The 16,500-nt window shown below is 43.2% G+C and overlaps 1 protein-coding gene across 40 annotated transcripts in view; it reads right to left on the bottom strand.

The window, feature by feature from the left end:
* Positions 1-16,500, bottom strand: part of TANC1 (tetratricopeptide repeat, ankyrin repeat and coiled-coil containing 1) — a 264,020-nt gene that overhangs the window by 67,085 nt on the left and 180,435 nt on the right. For 20 of the 40 annotated variants that reach the window (NM_001350065.2, XM_047446107.1, XM_047446108.1 and 17 more), the window contains 3 exons: positions 16,303-16,433; positions 15,019-15,205; positions 2,029-2,292 (listed from right to left, as the gene is read on the bottom strand). The exons of 2 other annotated variants lie outside the window; for them this stretch is intronic. In NM_001350065.2, the coding sequence (NP_001336994.1) occupies positions 2,029-2,292; positions 15,019-15,205; positions 16,303-16,433 (582 nt within the window). The remainder of the gene's footprint in view (positions 1-2,028; positions 2,293-15,018; positions 15,206-16,302; positions 16,434-16,500) is intronic. 18 more of the 40 variants (XM_017005141.2, XM_047446109.1, XM_047446112.1 and 15 more) reach the window with 4 other exon arrangements.

The raw sequence follows: 16,500 nt of genomic DNA, 5'->3' as shown, positions 1-16,500 counted from the left end.
TGAAAAATCTTGCCATTTCCTCTTAACTGAGATTCAACTTCAGGGGCAGGAAGGGAGGCAATGAAGAATCTACCAGACTCCTAGCTTGTTAACAGATATCATGAAATAGGCCTTTGCTCACGTCCTTTCAAAATATGCATTTAGTTTAAAAAACATGTAGCACACAAGAAATGAGCAAACCCATTAGGCCAGGTAGACTTTGCTCAAATCTAGAGGTGAAACCCTCCCATTCCACAGGAGGTCTAGCTCAAGGGCACACGCAGAAGCTAATGAATGCGCACAGCAGAAATCAGAAAGCTCTGCTCTATAATCACGGCAGCCTCCTGGAAAAGCTCAGCTCACACCCACTGTCACTTCACATGGCAGGAGACCCATAAAGAACATCGAGCAGAAAACAACCCCAAATGGGATGCTTTTAACACTGTTAAAATTAACACAGTAATGTTTCCTAATTTTAAAACAGCTTGACTAAATTGAGCACAAGTTCACTATTTTTGTTGAAGTTAATAAAGTGATCAAGTTCTGGGATAATACAAATGACCCATTCATCATAACTAGGTAAATACGGTCTAAAGCGCCTTGGGTGCCACATACTCTGTTAAAGTGGTGGGACAGTGGTGGGAGGACAGGAAAGCTTGTGGAAGGACTATCAGTCAACTCGTATAATGTTCTCTAGTATTTCTCTCCAGCAGACATGCCAAATCCCTCTTCTGGAACAAGGCCATTTCACTTCCTTTGAAAGTGAATTAGAGTTGTGCCTCAGCACTTTTCCATTAGGGCCACTTATTTATCAGCTACTTCAGAGTCCCATTGTAAAAGAACACCCAACAACCACCAGAGTGACCCACCGCATCCTGAAAGCACAGTATAAATCACAGAGAAATTCTCTGACGTAGGAGCGGAGAATCTGGGTCCCTGCAGTAGTAGAAGAGAAATGTTAAGTGCTACACTGATAACAAAGAATGACTGTAACAAGTTCCTCTTCTAAACTCAGCACAGGGCATGGAGTTTAGAAACTAGAAACCTTAAAAACAGGCCCCACAGCTCAGATGCAGAGAGCTCCTTTCCCCACCCACCTGGAGCTATAGTCATCCTTCACTATGCACTGGAGATCACTTCCAGGGCCCCCTGAGGATACCGAAATCCTCAGATGCTCAAGTTCCTACTATAAAATGGTATAATATTTGCACATAACCTACAAACATCCTCCTATATATTTTAAATAATCTCTAGATTACTTATAATACCTAATACAATGTAAATAGTTGTGAGACTGTATTTTTAAATTCTTATTATTTTTTATCGATTTTTTTCCTTGGGTATTTCTGCTCCATGGCTGGATGAATCCATAGATGTAGAACTATAGATACAGGGGACTGACTGTATTCTCCTTGCTTGACACACACCTGGTGACCAGTCTGACTACTGACAGTTGCCAGCCTTTGTGGTTTCTTCTTTGTTCCAGCTGCTGCATATCTCGGTAAAGCATGTCTATCTCGAATATTTTCATTTCCTTGATTGAGAGCTCCTACTTCCACTGCTTACATTTTAAGCCGTGAGCTCCATTTTAACTAAATTGTACAGAAATTCGGCCCTCTTGCCTGTACAATCGGCCTCAATTAGACAAAAATAAGTTTGTAAGTTTGGTAAGAAGATCCTCGAGCTGATATTAACAAACTCACTCAACAATTCCCATTTACCAGGAGGTAATAAACAGTAATGAATTTTCTAAGGCTTAAAACAAAAACCGAGAGGAGAGTTTTTATACTTTCTTCTCTTATATACAAAGAGCCTGACAGTCCAAATAATCGATTTAAAGAATTCCAGAGCAGAAGGATCACTTAAAGACCATTAAGTACAGCCTTATTGTGTTTACAGATTAGTAAACTGAGGCTTAGAAAAGGTAAGTGCCTGACCCACGGCCACGAAGCTGGCTTGTATCTGGAGTGTCTTCCCATGTGAAGACAGTGAACACAGGGCACCTTGGTATCCCTGAGATAATCCTTCCAGGGAAAGGTGTGGCCTTACCTGCAACTGAGTTGGGCCGTGGCATTATTAGTGAGCTGGAGCCCTGAGAATAAGGGACTGGACCATCTCCAGCTGAGGATTCTGCTTTGGGCAGCGTGCTCTCTGCTGACCCGGTGGTCTCCTCTTCTGCCACTGGGGAGCAGTTATCTGCCCTGCGGTCATGAAGCACTCCCTTCTGAACCCCTAATCTTAGGTTTCCATCTTTATTCCATTCCAAACTGGAGCCACTCCGGTCATCATTTTCGGATGAACTTGTAATTGTGGCTGAAATGAAAGACCAAAATACTTTGAAGGAGGCCAGGCACAGCTGGGGCTGAAGAATTAAAACATGCACACTGCCCTCCCCAGGATCAATGGAAAGTTTTCCAGTCCACACAGATTTTTATCAAAGTATGTTCCATACAATGTATTTTGGTAAATTAGAAGAATGTGGCTTACCAGGGGAAATAAGCTGCTAAATCACTCTACAGAGAAGAGGAGCGAGGGAGAAACTCTGATAGGAAGATAATGAAAAAAATTGTCTAAAAAGTATCAGAGTTAAGAGTAAAATTATGTAACCTGGAGATAATGTATCCTCTTTTTAACAAAGATTACTCACAAAAGAATTCATTTCTCATTAAATTCCTTTGAACCTTTAAATATACTTTCCAAATTAAAAACATTTGCTGGGGGTGGGGGAGTGGGAACAAACAACAGAATGGTTAATGCAGAAACGGTGCAGGAGAAAATCTTTAGAAACAAAAATACAATTATAAAGTCAAACAGAGAATTTGACCCTTAAAGCTTATAACATCTATTCAAGATGATCCAGAGAGACTGACTTATTATTTCCTCAGCAACACGAAATGGAAAACCTTCCCATATCCAGCGCAGGTGAAGTACCAGCAGGAGAAGGTATACTATGACTGCAGAATTCACATTTAATCTCCAAGAAAGAAAACCAGCACAGAAAAAAGGTACAAAAAACCTTTTGTAAACATCTTGGCAAAAGAGCAGAAAGAACATGGTCAAAAAGCGAAGCAATACTCACCCTACATAGCTTCTACAAAGAGTCACTTCTAATTTAAAGATGCTGAGCCATATGGGATCCCCTTGCAACCACAGGTCATCATCACCTGGGCCACTCACACTGCCCCACTGTTAGAACTAACGCTGGCTGCGTCCTTGAGAACAGGGGCCATGTCCACCGATGCCTCTTTCCCTATCTGGATTCCAGTCACCTAGGCCCTCAACTCCACGCCTGTTAAATGGGAGTGCACAGGGCCAAAGTGCATTCAGAACCCAGCTCCTGGATCAGGCTGCTTTAGCCACACACCAAGATGATACACACTGTATCAGAAGGCTGGTAAATTAGCTCAGGGTCAGTTATTTAGGATCAAAGGGTCTGAAGGGTTTAGCTTTGTTTATATTCTTTACGGTTTAGAAGTAAAGACAAAACTATTTCCTTGCAGTGGCCCAGGACATCCTGTCACAATTCTGACTGTCTTTACTCCTCCTGCTGCTGCAGCCTGGACTTATCACCCTCTCTGGTTGCCTATTTTAAAAAATCCCACATAAATGCTGAAGCCTTCCCTAGAGTATCCATGGCTATCTTTTCCTTTTCTGAATAGCACAGCACAGCACATAGTAAGTGCTCAATAAATGCTTGCTAATTGAATGAATGAGCAAATGAATAAACTTCAATTCCATTTGTGGTCAGAGACACTACACTTAATCTCACTTACCAGAGTTCAGGATCTGATTTTGGGTGCCCATCGTTATGATTCCCAGCATTTGCCAGTGTTCCATCAGCAGTATTAAACCATACCTCCACCTCTTTGGAATCAATCACAGCCTTCCTTGTGTTTTTAAATAGACCATTTATATGAACATAGGCATAGCAAGTATGACTCTTTCTATCATAAAAATGCCAATGGTGGTGTTGACAGCAGAAGCTAGCATTTACTGAAGGTTTGCTATATGCTAGAAGTGTGCTAATGTTTTTCAGGAGTGGTCTAATTTATTGATAAGATTATTGCTTATTAATGGTAATCCTGTTAATAAGCTTGAAGCATAAAAATGGGGGCCATCCCATAACACAGATTGTGGTGTTACAAACCTTCACATTTAAATCCAGCATTTGCAACTCAAAATGCTTTTCTCAGACATATTGTAATAAGTTAGGTTCACAGGCTACTCCAACATCCAAGTGACAGGAAGAGTTCCAGGCTAGGGAGATAGGGGATTTGTTTGGTTTTATTTTTGTGGCTGTTACATTGGAAAGCACGTATTTGTAAATTGAAAAATTAAACCAAAAGTCAAAGTGCTCTCCCTAAGTGCCAAGCACTTCTGAATCAAACCCCAAAGATCTGAGTCCTAACTAGGACCTCAAGCAGGGGAAATAAGGACTTAGCTCACTTCCTGTTACAAGTGACAGCACTGCAATCAGGACCTCAGGGACCCATGGAGCAGCTGAGGATGGCTGGGAAGGCCAGGTCAGAGCTCCTGATGGCAGGACAGGTGGAAGGTGTGGCTCTCACTGGCAGACATGTGCCCTACACTGTGCCCAGCATCTCGTGGAGGGGGAGAGGGGGCGGAGGGGTAACACTCAGGTCCTGGCAGGGAGAGGAAGGAAAAGGGGTGGGGGAGGAAGGGCTCAGCTGCAGGAGCAGTCACTGCGAAGAGAAGTCCCAGATGGGGTAACCATTTAGAAATGAACATATTGTAAGGTCAGTGTTTATATGAAGGAGACTAGTGAGGAAGAAGAGGCAGCCCTTCTGCTGCCCTCACAAAGTTCCTGTGAGAGAGGCATTCCACGGTCCACATGTCCCAGGGTTCTCAGAGGCAGGGAGGCTGGAAAATCTGAAGCCACTCCATTGACACTCCTTCCTGGGATTCAATATCAGATGTAGCCTACACAGGTGGAAGCCCAGACACTCTCATCTTGGCTCAGCTCCATCCGAGCCCTGAGGCAGATCCAGCTGAGCAGATGAAGGCCAAATCAGTCTGGCTTCCCTGCATAACCTAAGAACAACACCAAACATGGCAGCCCCGGAGTCCCCAAGAAGAGAAAGCTGGTTCTTCCAATAAACGACATCTTTCTTTCTTCCAACCTTACAGAAATTCAAACTCCTAATCAGGTTAACCCAGTCAATCACTCTCAAAAATGCTTGTGGGTACACGTACACATCAAGGGCAGCATCTTAACTGTGATGACTTAAAAAAAAAAAATCTCTAAAAAGTGCTATTTGACATTTCCCAGAGACTGGCTAATGTTTATAGTTGCCTTAATAATTTAAAAATTCTAGCATTTTGTTCTTTGGACTAGTATAGATGGCAGCTTTTGTCAATTACAGCTTGCTATCATCACCCAAACTGGGTCTCAGCCACCCTCGAGACACAGGGCATTCTGAAACTGAGCGACTTATCAGGCCTTAAATTTTATAAGGCTGTGAGGTTAGGCTGTGCCTCACAATTTAGTGTTACATTCCGTTTAGTCTCAAGGACAGTGTCTTATCTTCCTTTGTACTAGTGTACAGGGGTAGAATACTTCCAAAACACTTTTCTTTTTTTTGAATAATATGGGATTTCACTATGCTGCCCAGGCTGGTCTCAAACTCCTGGCCTCAATCAGTCCTCCTGCATCAGCCTCCCAAGTAGCTGGGACTATAGGCACACATCATTGCACCTGGCTCACTTTCTTAATATAACAGGGCGTATACCTGATCACATCCCATGAGAGGAGGCAGATAGGCTGAGAACCATCAACCCCACCTTATAGAGATAAAAGGCTCCAGAGAACCTGATCTCTCTCTCTCTCTCTCTCTCTCTCTCTCTCTCTCTCTCTCTCACACACACACACACACACACACACACGTATGTGTATGCACAATTAGTGGTATAGCTAATACCAATTCTTCTGATTATACATACAGCGTATTTTTAAAACACCATTTGCTTGCATGGTGCTCATTACATAAAAGGAGTTAATTATCTGTGGCTAAAAGTTCATGAAGTCTGCCTTGTTAAAAAGTCATCCACTCAGTCATCAAATGCTTTGCTCTGCAAGGCTCTGAAATACGACTGCACTCTTTCTTCACCTTCCCAAAGTTTTTTTTTTTTTTTTTTGAGACAGGGTCTCACTCTCTTGCCCAGGCTGGAGTGCAGTGGTGCTATCTCGGCTCACTGCAGCCTCGAACTTCCAAGGCTCAAGCGATCCTCCCACCTCAGCCCCCTAAGTAGCTGGGACTACAGGTACCACACCTTGCTAATTTTTTATATTTTTGTAGAGACAGGGTGCCGCCATGTTGCCCACACTGGTCTTGAACTCCTGAGCTCAAGCAATCCACCCACCTTGGCCTCCTAAAGTGCTAGGATCCAACTTTACCCCTTGCCTTCTGAAGGTTCTATGTTGAATGGACACTTAAAATAGAATCAGCAAAAGAAAAATAAAATCAGTGTCGGTCCAGGGCCCTATAGGTAGTTTGGTGGGATCCAAATCAAGTTATAGGCTTAAATGAACATCAAGAAGAAAGCTAACTGTAACCTGACTACAGCATTAGCCCAGAATTGTTCAGGAACTAAGGACCAGAGATACCAAACATATGCCACAAACAATTCATCAGAACCTTCTCTTTGAGCTACAGAGAAGACAAGGGTGAAAAGAGCAAGGGGCTTGCTGCAACCTTGGCTTCTCCCCTCTAGGGGGTCCACAAGGAGGTATGCGTCTCCAGACCCGGTACCATTTTGGGCAATGGACATTTTTGTCTTTATAAACACCACCTTCCACATGTGTTTTCTCTCTTTCCACTAGCTATCAGGAAACTTAGGAGTAAAGCTTTCTGCCCACTTATAAGAAGAATACAGTCTTATGAATGTGACTCCTCAATGCATCTTTTCTCTTGCCCTATTTCATACTTTCCCCAACTCATACCTTCATGGAAAAGGAAAAATCTTGGTTTATTACATGTCTGTTTTGAGCATTTCAAATTCACTGGTGAGGAATTAAGTAATGATCCTTAAGAAATCACAACAGTGGCTAAGATGAATATTGGAATACTGTTTACTATATGCCAGGCTTCATTCTAAGTTCTTTTTGCACTTCAACTCACTGACTCTCATTAACAGCCCTATGGACAGGAAAGCCCCAGAATGCCCTAAGTCCCACTCTATCCTAGAATGGGGCTCTACATGGTTTTTTTTTGTTTCGAGACAGGGTCTCGCTCTGTTGCCCAGGCTGGAGTACAGTGGTGCAATGACAGCTCACTGCAGCCTCGACCTCACGGGCTCAAACGATCTTTCCACCTCAGCCTCCTGAGTAGCTGGGACCACAGGCATGCACCACCAGCACCCCTGGCTCATTTTTAAGTTTTTTTGTAGAAACAAAATCTCCCTATGTTGCCCAGGCTGGTTTTGAACTAATGGGCTCAAGCGATCCTCCCACCTCAGCCTCACATGGTGATGGGATAACAGGCGTGACCCACCATGCCCGGCCTCTCTACACTGCTCTGATCATACCATACTATTAAGACAAGACTTGGCATACATCCCAAATACATGTACTATAAATTATGTACATATACTATTATAATAGAAAATACGCATTTTGAGAGGACTCTCTGAAGAGAGTGATTTGTCCTTCCCTGGGTTGCAGAGAAAATTAGACATAAGGGCATATGTCAAGTGCCTCAGGCATCATGAATGCTCAGGAATGTTTTCCTCCCCACACAACTGAAGAAAAATAAAGTAGCACTTAAAAAGCAAACATTTTTTAACCTCTGTATTTAGCTTAGTGGTTGACAGGAAGAATTTAAAGTTAAAACACTGGACCAATGAATTAAGGATCAAACAAGAAAGGAACATAATGGCCGCTCATAAAAGTGGATGAAAGGAAGAAGTGAATAGAAAAGGAAAAGCCCACTACTGTAGCGAGACTGCCTCCTGTGACTAAGAACTTTCCAAATTAGGTTTCACTGCTGCAGAGGAAGTCCGATCAGGAAAAGATCAGAGACAAGTCAAGGCAACGCGCGCAGAAGTCTGTAGGCCTCTTGGCTGACAGGTGGCGTCCCTCTCTTGTGCACCCACACCTCACACCCAGCAGGCATTCAAGCCACCAGGCCACATTTTGGATTTTCCCAAGTGTGTAAGGGAAAGCCTGCACAATGAAACCGGCCTGACTTAAACCTTTCTGGCCAGAATTGCCAGACTGTACTTTTATTTCCACCCCTACCTAGGCCCGGCCACCTGCAAACTAACCAACCACAGAGAACAAAGTCCCTGGTTCACCTGCGGCCACAGCTTTTAACCTGAGGGGTCTAGTGAAGGCACTTAAGCCACCTTGCCTGGAATGCCAACAGAATGTCCCAGGTGGGACCCCCGCCCCAACCCTGCATGGTAACCTTCAGCTTCAGGAGACTTCTGGCTTCTCCTTCTGCAACTGCCCAGCCCCATCCAATGCGCCACAGGGCCCTGCTCCCTCTCTGGCCTTGCTCTGGGAGCCCCGTATGCTGGCTTGTGACAGCCAGATCTCTGTACGAAATTTCTAGCTCAGTGCTCACCTGTGTTGCGCAAGGCATGCTCTGCTATGACATGCAGCAAGGCCAGGGGCCCGAGCCGCACATTCCCAGCCACATTCATCAGGCTCTTCAACTAAGGAAACACCTAAAGGAATGGCTGGGAGCAGGTGGTGCTGGGCGGGGAGGATGGGACCCACCACACTGCCCAACTGAGAAGTCTCCAGAGACAAGTCTAAGGACTTAAATAACATGACATTTTCCAGAAAAAGCACAGTGTTTTGATAAAGCCTCACATAACCTGTGCACAGACACTGGAGCTTCTCACACAGTCTAATGACCCTTTTCCAGACTTTGGAAAAGAGTTCGATTAGTGGTATCATTATGCGCCCACAGCATACATCTTCCGTCAGAGGTATCAATCACTGTCATGTCTTAAATTCTTCTCAGTAATTCACAACTTGCTCAGACTCTCCACAGAACAGAAGACCATTTTGTAGTCCCACAAGTGGACAAGTTTTGACAATAGATGCTGTGCCTTATCTTTATTGTCCCAGTACTGAACATGCTTGCTCCTGGTACACAGTAGGCGCCAATAAATGCTTGCTACACCAATAGAACAGCCTGAAGAATCCAACTACAGTCTGAATAAAAGTACAGCAGGCTCTTTGCTGACTCAAATCATTGCCAAGAATTTCTTTCCCACATTAAGCATATTACCAAATTATATACATAAAGAAAAATTCTTCTCTTCACCCAAGAGATTTTAAAAAAAAGGCTTCTATAATTAAGGATGATTTTAAAAATTGCAGGCAACGTAGCAAAATGAATATTAACCCAGACTTGAAACAGTCTAAATAGTTATTACCAAATCAATTTCAAAGCATTTCAATTTAGTAGTGAGCAGGGCGATACAGGTGGCAACAAAGCAGTATTAGCATAAAATCAAAAGGGCAGGATTTACAACAAGTCAAAAAGGAAAATAAAGTACAATTAATTCATCTTTGTGTGCCTCTGCATCTGATTATCTCCCTTGGGGCACAAAGTCCAGGAAATAAAAGGTCTAAAGCTACCTCTGGAATCACTTTCATTTTATAAGCCTAGCAGGAGGTAGGAGAGAGTCAAAGGAAGATAAAAGTCAGCCCATGATAATTTTTTTTTAAACATCCTAAGCAACTAGGCAGAAAAATAAATATTATCAAACTCTAGCAAGATACTCTAGCAGGATACTAACCAGGTGTCTAATATTTTACTGCAAGCTACTTCTGCAGAAGTGTTTCTACGAAGGTATTCCCCTGTCTAAATGCATACCTGCCTCTCTGCTTCAAACTGAGCAAGAAGAAAACAAATGTAAGCATGAGGAAAGCAAAGGAAAGGCATTCAGAAGAGCTTGAATTCTGAGCACTTAATCACCCAGAAAGCCACCTAGCCAGGTGGAATGTGGCGGCTCATGCCTGCCAGCTCAGGTGCTGAGAGCTGGGCAGGTAGATTACATACCTGCTCTGTGTGGCAGACACACCCAGCTGGGGAGAGGCAGCCACTGTTCCCTCAGGGTCCCCTCCCTTCATGGAACTGTCCTAGCACCGTTTCTCCAAAGGAGGCCGATTCAGGACACTACAAAAATGCTCCGGAGATTACACATCTCAACAGGTAAAGAAAGGCAGATTAAAAAGACGAATGGAGAGAGTGACTGACTTAACGGCCCCTCCCTCAGCCAGAATAAGTCCTTCCCCTCTGCACATCTATCATTAATGGATAGGAAGGATTTCTTTTTATTTTGATAGGAAAGCTGGGTTTTCTTTGTTTCTTCTCATCCAGGCTCTATCCTCTTTCTTCCTAAATGCAGAAATAGCCTATTTTCTTGAAACTAATATACACACTTAAAATTTTATCACGATATGTACATAAACACAAATTAAATTTATCTCAAAGCACTTTAAAACACATTTTCAGTGATGCTTTGTTTGAAAATCAGATTGGTTTTCACACATTCTAATGAAAACATACTTTATATTTCTTTCTAAACTGGGATTAATACAGCTTACAGTTTCCATTTGTAACAGTTGGAAGCAAGACATATTCAAAGGAATGTCACTGAGAAAAAATGTTTTCTCAGACAAGGAGGAAACACCTTTAAAAGCATACTCTGTAAAGTTTTTCTTTTCACAGTAAGTAACTGAAAGCTATTTTATGGTGATTGGGTACAGTTGGGTTTCACCTTGAGAAGATTTTCACATTGCAAATTTGAAAATCAGACACCAACTTCTAGGTAATGCCAATGATTTTAACATGTAAAGAGTAAAGAAGTTCACTTAAAAAAATAAAAAAGATAATCATAGGGAATTCAGTTAATCCCATTCAGCTTAGACAGTATTTCTACATGACAGAATTATTATACTTCTAAAGACATTTATGTCAGAAGAACTTGGACCTCCTGAAAGAGGATAAAGCGGGACTCCCCTCTGGATAACATAATACAGTTGAAACAAGGGGCAGGAGGGGTTTGCTAAGCCCTGGCCTCCAGAGAGGAAGACTGGAGGGGCCCAGTAAATTCTTGTACTGGTTACTAGCCTGCCCTTTCTCCTCCTAAGCAGTGGAAACAGAACACATGCAGGGCACCCTGTGGCAGTCCTGATGAAACCACATACTTTATATTTCTTTCTAAACTGGGTGCCTGGGCATGTGGGAACACAAGCTTCCTGTCCCTGCATCTGCTGGACAAAAATATTTAGATTAAATATAACCAACATGATGCGAATCAGCTTAAAGAGTAAAGAAAGGTCCAGGAATTTTAAAGGATGGTTTAGCATTGTCTGAAATTTCCCCAAACTGCTCTGAATAAACCATGTGAATACTGTATGTGGAACCCTGCTTTGAGCCCACAGCTGCCCAAAGCTTGCAAGGCCTCGGCAGCTGTGTGCACTTTGTAACAGTCCACCCCCAAAGCCTCTGCCATTCCAAACCCAGCTCTACTGGCTGACAAATATTAAACTACTTAAAATGGAAAATTAAATGGAAAGCCTCTTCCTGCCTTCTCCAGGCCCTGTGTAATTGGGAGCATGGGTCCTCACCAGCCTGTTTTACAAGCCACTGTTAGGTCTTCCAAAGCAGGAAGCCAAGGTATCTCATCTTCATCTCCGCCCAACTAGGGTCATGGTGCTCTTGAATACTTTACTCTGTGAAACACTTACAATGCCCAAAAGCTGCCATTCCCAGGCTACACCTTATAAAAACAGGCATGCTCTTCAGATGGAAAAGGCACACCCCTACTCCAGCAATCACAGAACCACAACTGAGTCATAGATAACCTGCTCTGTGAAGAGGCAGTGGAACCTGCACACCCTGTATTGATTTAAAAGGAAGCTCTTCCCCTTTCTGTCCCCACCACTCCTGCCTCTTCAAAGACCTGTGGCTACAGTCTGCCTGGAGAGGAAATTCTTGCGTCTTTTCCTTCTCCTCCCTACCACACCTCCAGCGTGTCCCTTGGCAACAGGTTCTAATTCTGCATGTCACGGAAGGAGAACAGAGGAACGCTGTCAACAGCAGTGCCTCCCTCTCATCCCTCTACAGCCCTTGCAACCTGCAGGAAAACACAGTGGGAGGCATGGTCTCCAGAGCTGAGGTCTTCTGGATGAGAGGGACTTACCAGCCACTTCCTAATTCCTTCTGCTTTCACCTACAGTTGCCACTTTTCATGCTCAGCCGAGTTATGGGAAAATGTTGGCTTGAGCAGAGGAAAAACACAGCTTCAATGTCATGAAATGTGCTAACTCTGTCATCATGGCAGAGGTTACAACACAGACATTGAAAGGTTTGACAAAGCCCATGTGGAATGGGGATCCTGCATAGCTTCTTTATAAACTGAACGTTCCCTCTCCCGATGCAACTCGACACTGGCAACACTTCTCTTTCCTTAATTTCTCATTTCCAGCACCATGCTAGGAACCTAGTAGATAGCTGGATTAATGAGACCCCTGTTTACATCTGGAGAGAAAATTAAATAACAAAACAAGAACAAATACACTGAAGGGGAATATTGAGACACTATGGGGAACATGTAAGAGGGGTCTAATCAGTCAGCTACTGGGTAGGGCTGTATGAGATTAAGTATTAAGAACCTCCTGCAGTTTAATATTTCATTGACAACACAAAAAACCAAACCAGCACCATTTCTTTCCTCTGCTTAGAATACCTTAAAAATTGTGGCACTGTATCTCAATGAGAGAGAAAGAGAAATAAACGAATGGGTGGCTCTCAGTTATTAAAAGTTTGGGCCGGGCACAGCGGCTCATGCCTGTAATCACAGTACTTTGGGAGGCCAAGGTGGGAGGAATTCTTGAGGCCACAAATTTGAGACCAGCCTGGGTAACACAGTGAAATATGTTAAAAAATTTTTTAATGAGCTAAGTGTGGTGGCACATGCCTGTAGTCCCAACTACCCGGGAACCTGAGGTGGGAGGATTGCATTAGCCCAGAAGTTTGGCTGCAGTGAGCTACAATTGCACCACTGCACTCCAGCCTGGGCAACAGAGCAAAACCCTGTCTCAAGAAAAGTTTGTAACTGTCAAAGCAAAAAAAAAAAAAAAAAAAAATTTGGTTATAATCAAAGGCATGTAATGCCAATGGCCAGGATGTTCAAAAGAAAAAGCCTGTCAAAACAGTGCTGCACTGGCCACATCCTTGAAGATAAACTATCTGCAGGAGACAAAATTTCAGAAGAACCGAGAATACTGTGAAGAAAGTCATCTGCTTATCTCAGAATAAATACCAAAGATCCATCTATGGTGGACAGCTCAGAAGAGATAGGGCATAAGAACAGAAGTAACGCTGGGAAAAATTAGCTGAACTAGACTAAACAGCAGCTGGGGAAGCAGGGTAAGATGAGAATGGGGAATTAGCAGAACAAGCTCACTGGAAGGCCTTCAAGCTGAGTGAAAAGAATATAAATTTGCTACACAAAACTCAGCCCACCATTTATATGAAATGTTCAGAATAAGCTACAGAGACAGAAAGATTAATAGATTACTGGTTGACTAGGACTGGGGAGCTTGGAGTAGGAAATAGAGTGTGCCTTCTAATGGTCACAAGGTTTCTTTTGGGGATAATGAAAATGTTCTAAAATCAGATAGTGGTGACAGTTGCACAACTTTTAAAATATACTAAAAACCGTCAAATGGTTCAAATGAGTGAATACTATGGTATGTGAATTTCATCTTAATAAAGAATGAAGGTAAAATAAAACAAAAATCCATTAAAGATTCTGATTCAATTGAAAATTATGGCAAGAAGCCGCCTTCCTTAAGCTGAGGGGCCCCTCTAGAAGCTATAGTGAGGTCTACACCAAAGAGCCCACAACCCAATCCCAGGAATCTCACAGACCTTCTGGGGCAATCTCCAAAGTGAAAACTGGATGAACCTGCTGCCTGGTTTTCCAAATTACACTTGAAATAAACTGCAGGTGACTAAAGAAAATAAGGAGCTCAAAGGTCGTTCATTCCATTTGATTACATATTAATGTGGAAGTGGCACTCAGTCCACAATAAAGCATAAACTATCCCTCAAAGACACGTGCATAACTCAGCAAAAGGGGAGTTAAATCTTTCAGAAGAGCTCTGCGTGAAACTGCAATATAATCTTGGAACAGAGGAAGGTCTGAACAATCCCCTCCAGGGGTCCCACCCATCTGTTACCTGAAAGGCACCAAGCTGGAGACCTGAGTCACACAGACACTGGAGCCCAGCTGCAGAAACATAAATGCAGTCTGTCTGGGATGGCATATAAAAATAAAGACTCTTAAATTCCATGGATGATTCTAATACAAACCTGGGACTGAAAACTACTGGATTAATCAAAATCCTTAATGATCTAGAGAAAGAAAGTGTGCAAAAAGGTAAATTCAATGTTGCTCAAGTCACCGGGCAAATCGGCGTAAGAGTCCGGACTGGAACCCAAGTCTCCTGACTCCTAGGCTTCAGGACAACCACACTTATTACGTGGGTGTAGGGGCTCAGGGAGGTCATCCTTAGAAAATTCTGGCCTCAAAACGCAGTCAGATCCCATGATAAGAAACCCTAGAAAACATACGCCTGAGCTATCATCAGGAAAATAAGTGACCTTGAGATTGGGATAAGACGACGTCTTAATATGCAGGAATTTCATTGCTCTGCTGTGTGCCCCAGTGGGACCTGATGCCCAACAAATGGAACTGAATATAGAAGAGCAATGATTTTTGTTTCACAGGCCAGATCTGATCTGGAATTCCTTTTTTTTTTTTTTTTAACAAATGAGCTGACTGTTATAAAGTAAACATCAAGGAATGTAAAAGCCAATGCTCCACTCTCTCAGCTACACATGGAGTCAGTGCTGCCTGCAAAGAACAGAGCAGGCGCTGGCAGACTGACCTTCACAGACCATGCTAAAACCCTCTGAGGAAGTGCCTGGTGAATGCTCTGGTTGATGAGATTCGAGCCATTATGTTACCGAGCAGTGTGCTTCTTACCTATAATTCCACTGTCCTTGCTTTCCAGGGTGGAACTAGGGCTGCTAATGGTCTCACAGGGACTTTTGTTGGCTGCCGTCTTGCTGACACAGCTATTCAAGGTTGAGCAGGGGCTATCGGTGCTAGGAGATGCGGTGCTGCTTGTTAGTGTGGAGCAAGGACTGATGCCTTGACTCAGAGCTGTGCACTGCAAGATGAATGGAAGGAGGAGTTAGCACGGCTTACACAGGATGCTTCGACACATGCTTTTGTTTTTGTGCTAAAACAATAAAACTAAGAACAGGAAAACGGAAGTTTTAAAAAAAAAATCTAAAGAGATATGTGTGTATAGATATGGATTCATGGAGCTTTATCTATATAAATGTATATGTGGTCTTCCAAATTTTGAGAAAGCAGTATCTTTGTTCGGTTCCCCTCCTTTGTGATTTTCCTTTTTATTAAAAGGTCAGTCTTAGCAATAATTTAGTGAGGATGCACATTTGTACAACAGAAATGGCAAACAGGCAGACTTCCTTTCATTTGAAGTCTGCAGAAGACAAATGGGTTATTTGACCTCTGTACGGAAGACCTGGGAGCTCTGTTTTTGTGATGTTTCACGAACACTGCAACCTGATTCAATTCCTCAAGATTTATGGGCTCTGCAATCAGGGGAAGGAGACTGGTGACCACTCAGTCTCAATCAATGCATGACACCCTCCCTTGCAGTGCAGAGACCTTCACCAGGGTAGAAGCTCCATCCTGCATTGCTATTCAGATGCACACATCACATCTGGGAGGTGGCAGGGTGCATGCTGCTGCTCCCTTGGAGGGGAAGTGCTTTCCTGATAGATGGACCATTTGATCTCATCTTATTTTGTCTCTGCCTCATCTCCTATAAATCTTTTCCTCACCCCACTGACCCTCCAAAATCTCAACAGCTAAAAAGGCACAGGAAAGCGTATACCAAAGCAACCAGATGAGAAGAACGGTGCTATAAAGGTAAAAGTACTGGTAGCATTATGAAGGCATTCTTTTAGCCTCTTTAATTCATGTGGCCATTATTCTCTGGGTGGTGACTAGAAGGTTAATGTGGACATTTTCTTACGTTCTGCTTCTTTCTGCTTTTCCCTACCTCCCCACTGCAAAAACCCAGAACCAAACTGTTGAAATAAATTTCAATACACAACAGCCCAGAACTCATTTAACTGAACAATGGCTTCCCTGCTCAAGGAAAGGGAGAAGATGGTTATTGCTTCGTTCATCCTCTGAAGAGGTATGCAATGTAGTGTCTTCCTCGGGCATTACCATGGTTTCATTTTTGTCTTCAATGGTTATGTGTGTGGCACTTGGGATCCCTTCTCCCAGTAAAAATCCCAGCCTTGTCAACAGTTCTTGAGCTGCCGGCGAACAGCTCGGTTCATTATCGGCCTTTGCTTCTGGAACAAAGAAAGAAAACAATGAAGATGCCCCTCTGGGGAATTTCAGTATCGCATCTGGATGAGT

The sequence above is a fragment of the Homo sapiens genome, chromosome 2 (genome assembly GCF_000001405.40).
Source record: "Homo sapiens chromosome 2, GRCh38.p14 Primary Assembly".
In the NCBI taxonomy this organism is placed as follows: Eukaryota; Metazoa; Chordata; class Mammalia; order Primates; family Hominidae; genus Homo; species Homo sapiens.
Note: the sequence above shows the minus strand (reverse complement) of the source record. Positions and strands in the feature narration are given on the sequence as shown.